Below are 19,295 nucleotides of genomic sequence, written 5' to 3' on the forward strand. Positions count from 1 at the left end.
CACTTGAACCTGGGAGGCAGAGGTTTCAGTGAGTCCAGATCATGCCACTGCCCTCCAGCCTGGGTGACAGAGCGAGATTCTATCTCAAAAAAAAAAAAAAAAAAAAAAAAAAAGCAACAGAAGCAAATGAGGGTGCCTGGAAGTGGTCATTGTGGGGCATTCCCGTTTGTGTGACCCAGGTCATGTCCCTCCCTAAGCCCTGGTCTCTCTTGCCTCCTGCAGGGCTAGTGAATTACCAGATCTCCGTCAAGTGCAGTAACCAGTTCAAGTTGGAAGTGTATCTTTTGAATGCAGAAAACAAGGTCGTGGACAACCAGGCTGGGACCCAGGGCCAGCTGAAGGTGCTGGGTACCAACCTCTGGTGGCCGTACCTGATGCACGAACACCCCGCCTACCTGTACTCGTGGGAGGTAATGGTGGTTTGGGACTTGCTTAAGGGAGGTCTTTTGCCCCCATCTGGTAGCCCTGGCTTCAGCAGGATCCCAGGATAGGTGAACGGGCAGGTGTGGTCCTCTGAGCTTTCTGATGTTTCCCACCCTTGGTGGGAGGCCCAGATTTTTTATTTATTTATTTACTTATATTTATTTATTTATTTATTTATTTATTTATTTATTTATTTATTTTCTGTGATGGTCTCACTCTGTCACCCAGGCTGGAATGCAATGGCCTGATCACAGCTCACTGCAGCTTTGAGCTGCAATCCTCCTACCTTGGCCTCCTGAGTAGCTGGGACTACAGGCACATGCCACCATGCCTGGCTAATTAAAAAAAATTTTTTTGTAGGCCGGGCATGGTGGCTCACGCCTGTAATCCCAGCACTTCGGGAGGCTGATGCGGGCGGGTCACTTTAGGCCAGGAGTTGGAGACCAGCCTGGCCAACATGGTGAAACCCCGTCTCTACTAAAATACGAAAATTTGCAGGGCATGATGGTGCACGTCTGTAATCCCAGCTACTCGGGAGGCTGAGGCAGGGTAATTGCTTGAACCCAGGAGGCAGGGGCTGTGGTGAATTGAGATCATGCCACTGCACTCTATCCTGGGTGACAGAGTGAGACTGTCTCAAAAAACAATCCTTTTTATAGAGTTGGGGTCTTACTCTGTTGTCCAGGCTGGTCTTGAACTCCTGAACTCAAGTGATCCTCCTGCCTTAGCCTCCCAAAGTGTAGGGATTCCAGGCATGAGCCATCTCGTCTGGTCAAGGAGAAGGCCCGATTTTGAAGGGCAGGTCCCAGGGTCAGCCAGTGAAGGGCAGAGCCTCTGATTGCTGCTTCTCTGCAGGCCCAGAGGTGACTGCTGGGGTGCATGCACGAGGGGTCTTCCTGCTGTAGGGCAGGCCAGATGGGGCTCAGGCTGTCGGGGCGCTCACACCTGGCACTTTGGCTGTCGTAGGTGTGGCTGACTGCACAGAAGTCACTGGGGCCTTTGACTTCTACACACTCCCTGTGGGGCTCCGCACTGTGGCCGTCACCGAGAGCCAGTTCCTCATCAGTGGGAAACCTTTCTATTTCCACGGCGTCAACAAGCATGAGGATGCGGACGTGCGTTGGGGCTCCTGGGTCCTCGTGGGGGCTGCTTCTGGTCACCTTCCACTTTAGCCTTCCCTGTGTCCTGCAGTTGAGGGCAGCTCAAGGCAATGAGGCAAATGGCTCCAAACCACCCCATGGTGGAGCCGGTGCTTGGGCTGGAGAGGGGACCTCATGGGGTGGTTCTCCAGGGTCCTGGCTCTCAGAGGAAGTGCCGCTTCGACAGGGACAGGGGTCACTCGGCTCTGCTGTCCCCTAGATCCAAGGGAAGGGCTTCAACTGTCCGCTGCTGGTGAAGGACTTCAACCTGCTTTGCTGGCTTGGCGCCAACACCTTCTGCACCAGCCACTATCCCTACACAGAGGAGATGCTGCAGATATGTTACCGGTATGGGATTGTGGTCATCGATGAGTGTCCTGCTGTGGGCCTGATGCTGCCATGAGTCCCTGCTGTGCACCCGCTCTGCCTGGCCAGCCCTCGGGCCACACCGTGACCCTCTGTCCCTTCCCTCCTGGCCCGCTGGCAACTCTTCAACAACGTGTCTATGCATCACCATATGTGGGTGGTGGAGGAACCGGTGCTCAGAGACAAGAACCACCCCGCCATGGTGATGTGGTCCTTGGCCAAAGAGCCTGCGTCCTTCCTGGAATCTGCCGGCTACTCCTTCAAGTGAGTGCCCGCTGCCTGCCCTGGGCTGGATCAGGCAGGAGACCCTGGCAGATGGCAGACTGTGGTGGACGTGTGCTATCCGAGATCAGCATCCTGTCCCAGCCCAATGGGAGGGCCGTCCATACCCAGACGGTTCAGGGAACTAAATATCTACCCACCCAAATTGTAGTTTTCTTTTTCTATTTTTTTGAGATGGAGTTTCGCTCTGTCGCTCAGGCTGGAGTGCAGTGGCACGATCTCAGCTCACTACAACCTCAGCCTCCTGGGTTCAAGTGATTCTTCTGCCTCAGCCTCCTGAGTAGCTGGGATTACAGGCACAAATGAGCCACTGTGCTTGGCCTGTTTTTTTTTTGAAACAGGGTCTCACTCTGCTTGCCCAGGCTGGAGTACAGTGGCACGATCTCAGTGCACTGCAGCCTCGACTTCCCAGGCTCAGGTCATCTTTCTGCCTCAGCCTCCCAAGTAGCTGGGATTATAGATGTGTGCCACCATGCCCAGCTAACTTTTGCTTTTTTTTTTTTTTTTTGATGAAGTCTTGCTCTGTTGCCCACACTGGAGTGCAGTGGTGCGATCTCGGCTCACTGCAACCTTCACTTCCCAGGTTCAAGCGATTCTCCTGCCTCAGCCTCCTAAGTAGGTGGGACTACAGGTGTGTGCCACCATGCCTGGCTAATTTTTGTATTTCTAGTAGAGACAGGGTTTCACCATGTTGGCCAGGATGGTCTCCATCTCTTGACCTTGTGAGCCACCCACCTCGATCTCCCAAAGTTCTGGGATTACAGGCGTGAGCCACCGTGCCCGGCCAACTTTTGCATTTTTTGTAGAGACAGGGTTTCACCATGTTGGCCAGGCTGGTCTCAGACTCCTGACCTCAGGTGATCCTCCTGCCTCGGCCTTCCAAAGGGCTGGGGTTACAGGCATGTGCCACCGCACTCAGCCGCAGCCAGTCTGTTTTCAAAGATGGTCTTTGGGTTAATGACAATTCTCTCTCTGCTTACTCTCCAGGCAGTGTGGCTTTCTGAATCCAAGGAGGCTGGGAATAGGGAGATGGGATTTGTTTTGCTTAGTTTGGACTCAGCATTTTTTGTACTCGATTTAATAGACTCATAAAATGTCAAAGGTTTAAGTGAGCTTAGAGTTCATCTGGCCCAAACCTGGCTGATCAGAATCTCCAGGGGAAGTTTTTTTTGAAATGCCAGATCTCTGCATTCTGAGATCCTGATTTAGTAACTCCAGGGTTGGAACCTGAGTTTTTTTTTTTTTTTTTTTTTTGTGAAGGCAGGGTCTTACTCTGTTGCTCTGGCTGGAGTGCAGTGGTGTGATCACAGCTCACTGCAGCCTTGAATTCCTGGGCCTAAGCAACCCTCTTGCCTCAGCCTTCCAAGTAGCTGGGACTCCAGGTGTACACCACTGTGCCCGGCTAATTTTAAATGTTTTTGTAGAGATGGGATCTCACTGTGTTGCCCAGGCCAGTCTCAAACTCTTGAGCTCAAGTGATCCTCCTGCCTTAGCCTCCTAAAGTGCTGGGATTACAGGCATGAGCCACCGTGCCTGGCTGATACTAGCATTCTTTTTTTTTTTTTTTTTTTTTTTTTTAAAGATAGAGTCTTGCTCTGTTGCCCAGGCTGGAGTGCAGTGGCACAGTCTCAGCTCACTGCAACCTCCGCCTCCCAGGTTCAAGCAATTCTCCTGCCTCAGCCTCCCAAGTAGCTGGGATAACAGGCACATGCCACCATGCCTGCGCTTGGTCGTGGGAGGCAGAGGTTGCACTATTGTGCCACTCCATTCTAGCCTGGGCAACAGGGCGAGACTCTGTCTTCCAAACAAAGCGAGAAAAGATTATCTGCGAGAATGACTGCATTGGCTCCTTGGGTGGGAGCGCTTCTCCAGGGCAAGGTGAGGGGATGCCCAGTGCTGGGAGTGCTGCCTGGAGAGGAGTCAGTTCCAGTGGCGGGGGCCCTGGGTTTTGGCTGAGGACTACGTGTTGGCAGCTGCTCTGCCTCTCACAGCCCTTCCCAGCTGCACACGTCGTGAGCGTCAGTGTGCAATCACAGGCCTGCCTCCTTTGGGCCACTTTGTGACCATGTTTTTTGCTTGTGGGGCAGGGTAATTTCAGGATCTAAATTGGTGCAGTTGGATGTTCTCAGCCCCGAGAGGCAGCTCTTCCCGTTCTAGGCTTTTTGTTTTGTTTTGTAGAAATGGAGTCCTATGATGTTGCCCAGGCTGGTCTCAAACTCCTGGGCTCAAGTGATCTTATTTGTGCATTATAAGATTTTCTGAAATGCTCAAAAAAATGCAATGCTCATCACAAAATCAGAAGTAAGTTCAGGGACAACATATAATCTTCAGATCAAACAGGACTTTCCTCAACTAAGAAAATTGGAGTGTAATATTAAACGCTAAATGATTTTGATGTTTTAAATATTATTTCTTAAAAACTAACATTTCTTTTTCCGATTAACGTAAAAAGAAGTTTAAACTATCAAAGCACAAGTACCCAGATGTCTATTTAATGCACATAAAGACTTTTTGTACATAAAAAGAACGCATGGGATGATTTATACTGGCTTTTAAACTTTATATATAATAATAATTGAGAAAAACTTTATTTGGCATCATGATGTCAGAGACAGTGAAAACAAACAAACAAAAAAAATCAGATCTCTGAACAATTTAACTTGTGGAAATTTCTTCTTCCTTAAATATAGTTATAACGAGTCTTTTCAGAGTCATTCAGTAATGATCATTCAATATGATCATTATTACTGTATTTTAATGTTGTGTTAGTTTTCGTCATGATCAAACAGACTGATGGTCAGTTAATACCCAAGATGATAGTAACGTTGAGAACCTTCTTATTTCACCGTGAACTCACCCAAAATGCAAATAAAATGGGTCACAGAGAAATACCTAACCTGAGAAATGTTTGCACTTTAAAGACATATGTAGCTTATGAAGGTGATGATTTTACTTGCACATTTTTTCCTAACAGGCACTGCTTTCACAGCTTTGAGCATCTTAAAGGACTTTCTTTACATTCTGAACTTCTGGGAATCCTTAGTTATTTGTATTGCAAATAACTCCATTTTTAACAAGTCACAAAAGAGCCATTAATATGCAATATTATAGTATCCCCTGACAGGTTTAAACCCCCAAACAGACCTCAACTGTAAATAATTTTATATACATTATTTTGGTTTTCTTCCCCTCATCTTCACATTTCATCTTTTTTACTGACACTTTTATCTTAGATTTGGAGTCCAGCCTTCCACACCTGATCTTATACACCAGCCTCGCTTTACATCATGCTGCAAAATCCTCAGGTAATTAACATCATTTTTTCAATGATTTGACCCTCTCTGATATTTCTCAGACATACTTCCAATGATCCTGAAATAATGTCTCCTCTCTGACCAGTTATACACGATTAAAATACTAAAATTATTTTCTGTGGAAATCTCAGAAGCCTATTTCATTTTTTAAATAAACTGCCTATTTCTTTAAGAAAACATGTTTAGAAAACTTCTATCTGAGACGTTAAGACAGCCTGCTTTAGGTGTATCAGGTTTTGAAAGTTAGAAAATTTGATGTGTCCTCTGTGTAAAAAAACAAAAAGGCAAAATTGCAATTGTCACATTAAGTCCAAACATTACTATATAAATCACAATGAATAGCCAATTTTATAAAATTACAAATTTTGAACACCAGAAATATTTTTAAAATCATATTTTCACCATTTAACTTTCTCACCAACCTCTGTAATACATTTTCTTACATTTTGTTTGTATTTTTTCTGATTACCATGTCATATGATGACAATTGTGTAATAGCATTGTCTCTACAAAAATACAAAATTGTAATTCAGTCTTTCTTCTAGCATGGTTGATGAAGACCTTTATTATTAGTTAATGTTTAGAAAGGTTTCTTTCAGCTTCAATCTTGTTATTGGAAATGCTATGCAAATTCTAGGATTGTTTCTAAATTTGTCAAAATCTCTTTTTAGTTTCTTTTAGTATAAACTTTAAGATTTCAAAACTTATTTACTTTGTACTTCCTTTTGCAGTGTGTTGTCTTAAATAATTTTTGGCATGACCACCGTTTGTTGATTAAATTCTTGTTAATGTTTTTGTTTGTTTCATCATCATCAGCGGCATTTTGTGGTATTCAACCAGAAAATAAGGCTCTGTAAAAATGTAACTGGACAATTCATTATAAGATGAAGGAGACATGTAGGTGCTCAGGCATAGCTAAGTAGAGAAAAATAGTGAGGTTAAAAAGTATGGGTGAGATAGAAGTGGGCAATTAGAATGAAAATATATGTAGAGCCAGACAAAAAGATGGCTCATAGTGACAAATTCTGGACATAAGTAAGAATCAACTAGAATATATATATATATATTAAACAAAGTCTCACTCTGTCTCTGCTCCAGGCTGGAATGAAGTGACATGATCATAGCTTACTGCATTCTGGAATTCCTAGGCCCAATACATCCTTCTGCATCAGCTTCCTGAGTAGCTGGGACTACAGGCAATGCCACTGTGCCTGGCTTATTTATTTATTTATTTACTTTGTTTGTAGAGATGTGGTGTGGGGGGCGGTGTCCCATCTTCTTACCCAGGCTGGTCTTGAACTCCCGCCTTCAAGTTTTCCTCCCACCTGCTGGGATTCAAGTGATCCTCCCACCTGCCTCCCAAAATGCTGGGATTACAGCCCTGAGCCTCTGTGCCTGGCCCAGCTAGAATGGTTTTAAATTAAAAGTCCTGTTGATGGATCACTAAACATGAGACAGATAATTTTGTATATTGTTAAGATCATTAGCATTAATTTCAAACAAATTGATGCTTGAATATTAGTGCTGCCCTTATTAGCCTGTGAAACCTTATTAGCAATTACTGAACACAGAAGTAACAGCAGTATGACACACATGTGCACTACATCTAAACTAATTCTAGCGCTAACTTTTTTTCCTGTCAGTTGGGTTCCCAAAACACCTTTGCCTACACCAAATCCCCCCCCTACTAAATAAAACTAGGCAAAGTTAAACAGGTAAGGAAGGCTTATTCATGGATCTTGCAATTGGGGGAAAGACTAGAATGTAGTCTGAACTCAATTCCCTTGAAACAAAAGGGCAGGAGAGTTTTTAAGAGCTGAGGTGGGAAAGAACATACGCCATCTGTGTTTGCTAATTGTCCTGACCTAAAAGAAAAGCAAACTTTCTAATTTCTTCACGACAGAAAGTAGTTTCACAACCTGAAGCAAAGTGTCCACCAAAGTTAGTTTCCCTGCCACAGAGAATGAGAGATAGGCATGTCTATCTTCCTTGATGATGACATTTCAAAGAGATGGCTCCCAGGCCCTTAAGAAAAAAATCATTCCTGGGTTGTAAAACTGGCAGTCTTTTAAAAAGATTTACATCTCAAATGGGTTGGGAAAAAATTTACAATGACAATTTTTTTTTTAAGTCATTGCTACAAGAAAAGTGAGATTGGAAGGTTAGTGAGGAAGCCTGTCTAAAGTTTATTTAAACTCAGGGGAATTAAAACTGTCTTGGCCACAACTAACATAAGGAGAACTGGAAAGAAAGAGGAGTCTGAGAGGAAAGACAGTGAACTTTTACACCTTTTACAGAAGTTTGTGCCCATGACAACACCCTAATCATTTGTAGGGACCTGATTAAATGAAGAATACTGGTTTAAATTTCTTTCACTTCCCAATATATCTACCACTGTAAAAGTACATGGGACATTAAATTAGACAGAGCCAAGCAGAAATCCCAGCTCTGTCATTTATAAAACATTTTCTTGGCATATGCTTGTTCTTTCTTCACCCCTCATTCTTTATATCAACCGAGCAGCCAGATCTGAAAATTAGGCCTCCCAAAGGTTTTTCTATTCTTCTCTTCCATATTCACAGATATCATATGGTTCAGAACGTCATGATCTTTCACATAGAATAACGTTGACACCACCTAATGAGCTGCCACACTTCTGTTGCTCTCATATAATCCTCACACAATAGCCACAATCATCTTTCAAAAATTTAAACAAAGTCTATCATTTACCTGCATACAACTTTAAGAATATCCCCATTTCACTTCGAAATAAATCTGCCTCTTTCCTGTAGTCTACAATGGCTCAAGTTTTCTCTTTCATTTATTGTATTCCAGAAACACTGGCTGTCTTTCATGCCTTGAGCATGTTAAACTTTATCTTATCAGGGCTTTTTCACAGGCTAATTCCTCTCTTAAAACTGAGCATTGTCTGTATTTTCAATCACTCTCAATATAATACAGAGAACCATGTAAACTTACTCTGGTTACTAGTGAGGTTAAATAACTTTTCATGTGTGTATTGATCATCTTGAATTCTTTTTCATATGCATTTTTCACTCAAATTTTTTGCTTAGTGTTGCTATTGTGCAAAATCACTTTTAAAGGCTTTTGTATAAGGTTATAGAAACGTTTTTACATATATTGCAGACATGTAAAAAGTTTTTATTATGTTTTATTCATTGTTTAAAATGGAGTTTTGTGCTTATTTCATTTTTAAAAATTTAAATATTAATTCCATCTTTCTGTATAGTTGGTAGTGTATTATTTTTAACTGTCATTTCATTTCTGAACTAAAAAGGAAGATATGCCTTAGTCTACTCAGGAATTTCTCAAATTTCAGTACTGAATTTTTTGACATATCAATTATTAACAACAATCTATCAACTTAATACCCAGCATTTCATACTTGTGAATTTTTAGAGTAGTCTAAAACATCCCTGTGTCTTCTCATATTAGTAAACTTTCAAACTCTTTCTTAGGTTTTAAGTTTTCACATAATGAATCTTGCAGGAAAATAAAACTAATCTCTTGGTTCACTATTTCACTGAAAAGACTGAACACTTTTGGTGCATCACATACCCTTTTAGTTGCTGGGAATAACGCAGTGAAAACAGACAAAACAGAAAAATAATTTATGTCTTGGTAAGCCTTCTAACAAGTGAGTAAACAGAAAAAAATACGTGAATTTTTTTAAAGATATATATATATATTTTAAAATATATGTATTTTAAAATATATATATATATATAGACAGATAATATGTACACATAGGCTTAAAAGAAGGCTAGTGCAACAATAAAAGTAAGAATAGTTCACTATAATGAGATCAATGAGGATGGAGAGGAGTTTTCAGAATGTGGGGTCAACAGGATTTGCTGAAAGATTTGACTGGATTACATGTAGAAGAATCTAGAATGACACAAACGTTTTAAACTAAGAACTTGAAAATACAGAGATGCCACTTATTGAAATGGGGAATATTTTAAGTGAAACAGGCTTGGTTAAGGGAAAGATCAGGACTTTGATTCAGACCTTTGAATTTTGAGATACTGCTCTATGGTTATGTGGAAATGCTGATCAGGCAGCTGGATATAGAAGCTCATGGGGGATATTTAGGCTGAATATATAATTCCAAAAGCTATCACCATATAGATGATATGTATGCCACATGCTGGTGTGAAATCACCAAGGTAATTATGCAGACTGATACTCTGGGATTTCTATGTCTACTTGAAAGGGAGAAAGAATTAGTGGTGGAATTGTGAAGATAACCAGTGGCAGAAAAGAAAAACCAGAGAGTATAGTGTCCTAGAAGTCAAGTAAATAAAGTATATCAGTGATAAAACAGTAATCAACGCTATCAAATTCTGCCGATATATAGCAAATTTTGAGAATTTATCAAGCATTTAGCAAATGGAGGTTATTGGGTACATCGCCGACAGCAGTTGCAGTAAAATAGCAGGGAAAAATTTTGTTTGTGCAATATTCAAGAGAGAATGGAAGAATAGAAATTGGAGACTAAAAGTCTCTTTCAAAGGAGTGTGATTTAAAAGCGCAGAATAATGTAGTTGGTCTGTAGAACGAATAGAAGGTCAAGGGAAATTTGTTTCAAATAAATTACATGTGGTATTGCTGGCTGGTTTGATTCAGTAGAGATTTAAAAAATAGGTGATCCAGATAAATATTGAGGAATGTCTGAGAAAGGGATGGAATCCAGTGTATAATCAAGGAGTTAGACTCCTTAGTAACAAGAGGAAAGAAAGGCTGAGCATATGGGATTAGCAGCATGTAAGTGAGTAGAAGTAGTTCTTATGTTCTCTTGCAGTTGTCCTATTTTTTTCAGAAATATAATAAGAAAAATCATTAACTGAGAGTTAGAATGGAGAGATATTATTGGTGTTTTCTAAGAAAAGAATAAGATAAGAAATACTAGACTAGGAAATGAAGCAATAGAAATATAATAATTTTGCTGGACTACACTAGACAACAATTCAGCACTTACATATTTATTCAACAAATGTTTATTGTGCCTCTTCTGAATTCTAAATGCTCCTGTAGGCACTTGTGATATAACAGTAAACAAAAGAGATTCTTGATGTTATAGAGCCTAGGTTAGTGGTTATAAATTTTAAATGAGACCAACTGTAATTTTCTTCAGATAGGTTCTGTTTGGGAGGTTTATTCAAGTAGAAAGGATATAGAATTAACCAGAATTGAGATTGTGCCAGACAGTGACATGGAATGAGGGTAAACGGAAAAGAGTGATTTTAATCATGTCATGGAGTTGTAGCTGTTAGAAAGTGAAGATTTTAATGTGTGAGATACAACAACCTCAGCAGTATTATGGCAGATTCTGATAAAAGTCAAAAGATTTCTCAATCTGAAGCATTAGAGGAACTAGGCTAGAATAAAGTGGTACTTTTTAAATAATTGGATTCTTGAGTTTGAGATTACAATAATAACAATAATTGATAATGTGAATCACAGAGATTCTTGATTTTTTGTGAATTATAACAAATTAAAGCAGGTCACAAAACCCCAGTATGGGTCCTGAGGTTTCATATTTTTAGCTGCTCCACAGATGACTCAAATTTACAATCAGAGTAGAAAACCTATGGTAGGATTATGATCATGAGAATGAATGGCTAAAGTAGGATAGAAGTCAAAAATCACTGGAGGATCTGAGAAACCAGAGAAAGAATAAGCTATGTTCAGCCAGGACTTTAAAAGTGCCAAGATTTATAGCAGCACTAGTGTTGGAGAGTGATGGTGATCCAAGAACTCTACAGGAGAGTGATTCTAAAGTGGATATTTAGTAAATATATAGTTGATGGCATGTGATTCAAAGCTGAGTGGTTTTGTTTTTGTTTTTGAGAGAAAATGGCTTTGAAATATCAATAAGGAATTTAAAGATTATTTTATCTACTGCCATCCCAGAGGTTTGAGGTATGTGGGCAGATAAAATCAAACAAACAATAATGATAATAATAACAAAAATACACGCCATAAGGAGGCTGCAGGAGAAATAATGCATCACCTCAAGGAAGAGCCAAAACCTTTTCTTTTTTTAAACTGATGACATTTCATAAGTTCTAGGAGGCACTCGGCGGCATTCCAGAATTTAGGGAATGTGAGAGTGTGGTCAGAAAACAGATTGTTCAGAGCCAAATGAAGATGGGAGATGGAATGAGAGCCTGAACCTCTTACGGTAACAGATATGTACAGGGCTAAAAGGGCAGAATTGTTCCTGGTGTCAGCCACTTACAAATATGAATAAACTGTTGTGTTTTGTTTTTAAATAATAAGCAGACGCCCTAGAAGATCTGATTTTTATATTAAAGCTTAACAAACTAATTAAATTAAAATTTAAAGTGATTACTGTAAACAAATTACGTGGAGATTTAGATAGCTAGTGTCCTAAAATTATGCATTTAAACTGTTTTCCCTGAGCCATAACCTGTCAGGCAAGTAATCCAGTGGTTTCTGTAATTGGTTCAAGCTCTGATAGAGACTTCAGGCTCTTTTCTGTTAACAAAGATAATATTATCATTTCTCCTCCATGAGTAAAGCAGCCTTTGTTGTCAGTGTTAAACAGTAACTGTGACATATAAATCCTCCCCTGTGCTACACATTGGCCGGAGTAGTGATGAGGAAGATAGTCTTCAGTGTCTCAAATACATGGATTTAAATTCTACCTCTGCTACTCCCTAACCAAGTGACCATGAGCAAATGACTCATTGTCTCTGGTCTTCACCTTCTTTGTTTATAAAAATGGGTCATCCTGTTGATAATTTCTTTTGCTGTACAGAAGCTCTTGAGTTTAATTATATCCCATTTGCCAATTTGTGCCTTTGTTGTGTTTGTTTTTGGCATCTTCATCATGAAATCTTTGCCTGTGCCTATGTCCAGAATGGTATTGCATAGGTTGTCTTCCAGGGTTTTTATAGTTTTAGGTTTTGCATTTAAGATTTTAATCCATCTTGAGCTGATTTTTGTATATGGTATAAGAAAAGGGTCCAGTTTCAATCTTCTGCATATGGCAAGCTAGTTCTCCTAGCACCATTTATTGAATTAGGAGTCCTTTCACCACTGCTTGTTTTGGTCAGCCTTGTCAAAGATCAGGAGGTCAGAGGTGTGAGATCTTATTTCAGGCCTCTCTATTCTGTTCTATTGGTCTATGTGTCTGTTTTTGTACCAGTACCATGCTGTTTTCATTACAGTTGCCCTGTAGTATAGTTAGGATAATGTGATGACTCCAGCTTTGTTAGTTTTGCTCAGCATTGCCTTGGCTATTAAGGCTTTTTGGGGGCTGCATATGAAATTTAAAATAGTTTTTTTTCTAATTCTGCGAAGAATGCCATTGGTAGTTGATAGGAGTAGCATTAAATCTGTAAATTACTTTGGGCAGTACAGCCATTATAATTATATTAATTCTTTCTGTCCATGAACATGGATGGTATTTCCATTTGTTTGTGTCATCTCTGATTTCTTTGAGCAGTGTTTTATCATTCTCATTGTAGAGATCTTTCACCTCTCTGGTTAGCTGTATTCCTAGGTATTTTATTCTTTTCGTGGCAATTGTGAATGGGATTGTGTTCTTGATTTGGCTCTTAGCTTGGCTGTTTTGGTATATAGAAATGGTAGTAATTTTTGTACATTGATTTTGCCTCCTGAAACTTTGCTGAAGTTGTATATCAGCTGAAGGAGCTTTGGGGTCAAGACTCTGTGGTTTTCTAGGTATAGATTCATATCTACAAACAGGGATAGTTTCAACTCCTCTCTTCCTGTCTGAATGTCCTTTACTTCTTTCTCTCAACAGATTGCTCTGGCCAGGACTTCCAATATTATGCTTGAATAGGAGTAGTGAGAAAGGGCATAATTGTCTTGTGCCAGTTTTCAAAACGAATGTTTCTAGTTTTTTTTCCATTCAGTATGATGTTGACTGTTGGTTTGTCATAGATGGCTCTTATTGTTTTGAGACATGTTTCTTCAATACCTAGTTATTGAGAATTTGTAACATAAAGGGGTGTTGAATTTTATCAAAAGTTTTTTTTTCTGCATCTATTGAGATAATAATATGGTTTCTGTCTTTAGTTCCATTTATGTGATGAATTACATTGCTTGATTTGTGTATGTTGAACCAGCCTTGCATGCTGGCAATGAAGCCTATTTGATCATGGTGAGTTAGATTTTGATATGCTGCTGGATTCAGTTTGCAAGTATTTTATTGAGGATTTTTTCATCAATGTTCATCAAGAATATTGTCTACAAGTTTTCTTTTTAGTTATGTTTCTACCAGGTTTTGGTATCAGGATGATTCTGGTCTCATAAAATGAGTTAGGGAAGAGATCTTCCTCCTTAATCGTTTCGAATAGTTTCAGTAGAAATAGTATACAGACAACCTACAGAATGGGAAAAATATTTGCAAACTGCATTTGACAAAGGTCTAATATCCAGTATCTATAAGGAACTTAAATTTACCAGAAAATACAAAGAACCCTCTAAAATGTGGGCAATGGACATGAACAAACACTTTTCAAAAGAAGACATACATGCGACCAACAAGCATATGAAAAAAAGCTTAATATCACTTATCACTGGATAAATGCATATCAAAATCACCATGAGATCCCATCTCACACAGTCAAAATGGCTATTTTTAAACTTTTATTTTAAGTTCAGGGGTAACTGTGAAGGTTTGTTACATAGGTAAACTTGCATTATGGTGTGTTTTTGTTATACAGATAATTTCATCACCCAGGTATTAAGCCTAGTACTCATTAGTTATTTTTCCTGATTCTCTCCCTCCTCCCACTCTCCACCCCCTAATAGGCTCCAGTATATTTGTTCCCCTCTATGTGTACATGTGTTCTCATCATTTAGCTCCCACTTATAAGTGAGAACATGTGGTTTTCTGTTCCTGCATCAGTTTGCTAAGGATGATGGCATCCAGCTCTATTCATGTTTACACACACACACACACACAAATTATGTCATTCTTTGTATGGCTGTGTAGTATTCATGGTGTATATGTGACACTATTGCTTTATCCAGACTATCATTGATGGGCAGGTAGGTTGATTCCATGTCATTGCTATTGTGAATAGTGCTGCAATGAACATACATGTAGATGCGTTTTTATAATTCAATGATTTCTATTCCTTTTTGTATATACCCAGTAATGATATTGCTGGATTGAATGATATTTCCATCTTTAGTCTTTTGAGGAGTTGCCATATTGTCTTCCTTAATGGTTGAACTAATTTATTATCCCACCAACAGTGTGTAAGTGTTCATTTTTGTCCACAATGTTACCAGCATCTGTTTTTTTGACTTTTTCATGCAGAATGGTTATTATTAAATAGTCAAAAAATAACAGACGCTGATGAGGTTGCAGAGAAAAAGGAATGCTTATACACTATTGGTGGGAGTGTAAATTAGGTCAACCATTGTGGAAAGCAGTGTGGTGATTCCTCAAATAGCTAATAACAGAACTACCATTTGACCCAGCTATCCCATTATTGTATACATACCCAGGGGAATATAAATTATTCAACCATAGTGACACATGGACGTGAATGTTCATTGCAGCACTGTTCACAATAGCAGAGACATGGAATCAACCTAAATGCCCATCAATGACAGATTGGATACAGAAAATGTGGTACATATACACTATGGAATACTATGTAGCCATAAGAAAGAATGAGATTATGTTTTTTGTGGGAACCTAGATGGAAATGGAGGCCATTAGGGTTAGAAAACTAATGTAGGAACAGAAAACCAAAGACCAAATGTTCTGTCATAAGTGGGAGCTAAATGATGAGAACTCAAGGACACAAAGAGAGCAAAAACAGACACTGGGTCCTAGTTGAGGGTGAAAGGTGAGAGGAGGGACAGGAGAAAAAAAATTATTGGGTACTAGGCTTAGTACCTGGGTGATGAAATAATCTGTACAACAAACCCCCAATACACAAGTTTACCTATATATAAAACCTGCACATGTACTCCTGAACCTAAAAAAAAATAAAACCCAAATGGGTAACTATAATACTTATTGAATGTTGAGATTATGAAAATGAAAAAAAAATCCATGTAAAAGTGAATACTCAGCATGCACTACCTATTTAATAAATGTTGTCACCTTTCTTATCTCTTTCTTCCCACAATACTCCTATTATGCAGATGCTATTAGAACTTTACAGATGAAGAAACTGAGGAAATACAGCTAACAAATGACAGAGCCAAGCTGGATCGCTGTCTCTTCACACTGTACTTTACTTATTTTTAGTTAGCACAGTAGCATATTACCTTCCCTCTCAAGACTGACTCACAGGTGTTGAGGACAATGAGGGCACTGGCCTAGAACTTCTCCAAGAGTCCCTTGCAAAGGAACCAAGAGTTAGCATAGGGAAAGAAGACTCTGTGTTCACTACCATATCAAACTTGGCAATAACCTAATATCCCTTTAACCCTGGTTGTTCAAAAAACCCAGAGGCACAGAGTCATACATTCCAATTAATTCCTAGGATAACCAAATACATACATACATATATCTATCTATATATATATATACACACACACACACACACACACATATATGTATATATATGTGTGTATATATATGTGTGTGTGTGTGTGTGTGTGTGTGTGTATGTGTGTGTTTCTAATGGGAGACATCTGCTAAATTCAAATAATCATCCTGGTATGATCCCTACTAAAAGTAAATAACATAGACTGATTTTTTTAAAACTATAGATTCCAAAGATTTTGTAATATGAAGAGTTACAAAGCAGCTTAGCTGCTATGGTAGACTATGGATATTTGCTTCAGCAGTAGCTGTTTTACAGAAATCTATCTGGGAGAACAAAATAAAAACAAAATTAAACTATTTTCATTCATGTTCAGCCTAACTTATCTCTTCATATGTTTAATAAAATTATTTTTAAATAAATAGGATAAGTTTCAACAGCTATATTGTCTTACATTTTCCTTTCTAAGCAGCATTCAAATTAATTCTTTTTTTTGGAATATGAAAATCTGATTCCTGCATACATTTATTTTTAGAACCAGTTCTAAAGGAATAAACAAAACTAAACAAAAACTGGTCTCTTCTGATAAATTTCACAGCTTCACTGAAAGAGAAATATCTCTCATACATAATCCAAATTTCAATTGTAATAAGTGTGTGAGTATAGTATAATGACTAAGAGCCTGTTGCTCTGACATGGAACAATCCTAAGTTGAAAGTATGACACTATCACTAATTTAAAGTCTCTTAGCTTTCATTTCTTCAGCTTTAAAATGATAATGATATAATTAACTCATAAAGTTGTTGTGATGATTAAATGGGATAATGTTTTAATATAGCAATTAACATATGATGATCACTCAATATTATTAGCCATGAGTTGTAGTAGGGGTAATAAGGTGGTTGAAAAATGTTTTCATTAACAATAGTCTTTCTGGTTTATGGCTTTAGACTGGGAAAGAATAAGTGTCCCCGCAAAACTGCAGCACAAAAGAATTTCAGATCCACCCACTCAGAAGTCTGAAGCCAGTGTGGCTCGCCCTCACTGATCTCAGGGTCTGCATTTGCAATGTAAGGTGCATTTTGTTTGTTGTAATGCTGCTACTTTGGTCTTTCTTTTTTCTATATTCATTGCTCTGAACAGAAGTAATTAAACAAAAACAAAACAAAAAATGCTAGCTTGGAGAATGCAAGACAGGTTGTGTTGTAAAAAATGCAGTCTAGAAAGCCATATCCAAAGCATTTCTAGTTTACAAAAACAAAACGTATGAATAGAGGGCATGGCCTACACCAAAGACACATTCAGTGCTTACAAATTTGGTCAGTGGCACGGAGTGTGTACACTGTCCTGGGCACAGGACTAGGCATTGTATACTGTTTACATGTTTTAATTCTAGAGGAAGGTTCTAGTGTCCTCTTAACAAAGAATGAAAATGAGATTCAGAGAGGTCAAAATGAGGAGGACCAAGGTCACACAAGGGCTGAGTAGGTATCCTAAACTGCCTCTTCTTGGCTCCAGATACCAACTCCCTTTCTCTGTGCCAAGCTACCTGAAAATTTTCTGAAAATGCTCTATGAGAGTTGTCTTTAAACAGCTGAATTTTCCATTTGAAAGATGGAAAACAGCAAAGGGAGGACATATGGTATATTTCTCATGGCAAAGGTAACATTACACTTTTTGAAAAATAGAAAAAGAAATAAACTTTAAATTATAATTACTAGGGTTTCTTACACTAATGGGAAACATCAAGTTCAGCATTTCTCACAAATGTAAATGTGTGTATGAAATTAAATAAACAAAATGTGACATTTTTGTAAGTCAAAGTTATCAAACATTGGCAGCTATCTACAATTCAATCAAAAATATATTTGAGAATCACTTTTATTCTTATTTGCAGACATTTAAAAATATTTCCAAAGTAAATTATATAGTGGGTTAATGTCTTCATTATTTGCTGTGTGACATAGTTGAAAATGTGATTATATCCCTTTAGCATAAAGAAAATAGGATACTACTTTTCATAAAGTTCAATTAAAACTTTATCTTTTTATCCAAAGAGATTTTTGATATATATGTCAGCTGTAAGATTGAAGGGAAATTAGCACAAATGAAATATTTAAGAAAGGAAGAGAATCAGGAATGTTCAGTGAGAACTGGCTAGCAGTTATAGGACATAATATAATGTTTATGAGTATATGTTGATAAAATTGTAATATTAATTAAGATATTCTCTTCTCCCCAAGTTGTGTTAATATCTTAAAATATACTTTATTATAAATGGAAAAAATGAAGGAAGTTATCAATATTATTCCACAAACTTAAAAAGTAGAACCTAATAGGAGATTGTTGAAATTTTTTACCTAAATGAATAAACAATTATTGTGCTTAGAAGTTTATCAAGAAAAACATCATAAGCTAAAAATATACCTTCATGTGATTCTGCAATAAAGAAAATGAGATGAAACACATAAGTCATTTATAGTATACATTTATTATATTATTATAAAAATTATTATCATAGTATACATTATTATAGTAGCAGTAGAAGTATCATTATTACTACTATCTTCTAGGCAGTGGGGCAGGAGCAGTAATGATCTCCGACTTTGTGTGTGTTTTAAATTAAAAGATAGTGTAGGATAGTTACCTAAATTTATTGTGTCTCTTATATTTGTGAAAATCTCAAGACAGGAACACGTTCTGTGGCACATTATCCCATTAATGGATCATTTCTTTTGGCAGCAGAATATGCTCAATTATCCTCAAACTTGATCTCCTATTACTGCTAGATAGAACATTGTGTGTTTAGAGCTTGATAAGAAATTAGACATGTAAGCAATCTATTTGCATTATCTCTTCTTCTTAATCTAATGTGTAATTTAACTCTCCTGCAGTCTCTCTCTTAAAATCCTATTGACTTTCTTAAAGGGCTGGCGATGGAAAGAGAAAAGTCCGTGTAACCAACAATTAAATCAAATGGTGGAGATCTGTATTCATCTAGTGCCTCTGAACCCTTTCAGCCCATAAAAGTCACTTTAGCAAGGGCCTGAGTTACTTTTCTTTACAAAGATTCTCAAGTATTGATTTCAAATGTAATAAGACAGAATCCAGGTGAATTCAGTCACAGCCTTAGTATATCCAGATACTTCATTTCACAGATGATAATACTTAGGAATGTAACTACAGATTTTTGAAGAGAACAGATACAAATCATCAGATCTTTTAATTTTAATTTTTTT

General features: G+C 38.3%; 1 long non-coding RNA gene and 1 pseudogene across 1 annotated transcript in view; both read left to right on the forward strand.

Annotated features, from left to right (window-relative positions):
* Positions 222-1,961, forward strand: GUSBP8 (GUSB pseudogene 8; annotated as a pseudogene).
* LINC02113 (long intergenic non-protein coding RNA 2113) overlaps positions 1,584-19,295 on the forward strand; it is a 43,965-nt gene continuing 26,253 nt past the window's right edge. The window contains exons 1-3 of the long non-coding RNA NR_110562.1: positions 1,584-2,192; positions 5,444-5,515; positions 17,007-17,126. This is a non-coding gene — a long non-coding RNA (long intergenic non-protein coding RNA 2113). The remainder of the gene's footprint in view (positions 2,193-5,443; positions 5,516-17,006; positions 17,127-19,295) is intronic.

This window comes from Homo sapiens, chromosome 5 (genome assembly GCF_000001405.40).
Source record: "Homo sapiens chromosome 5, GRCh38.p14 Primary Assembly".
NCBI classification, from domain to species: domain Eukaryota; kingdom Metazoa; phylum Chordata; class Mammalia; order Primates; family Hominidae; genus Homo; species Homo sapiens.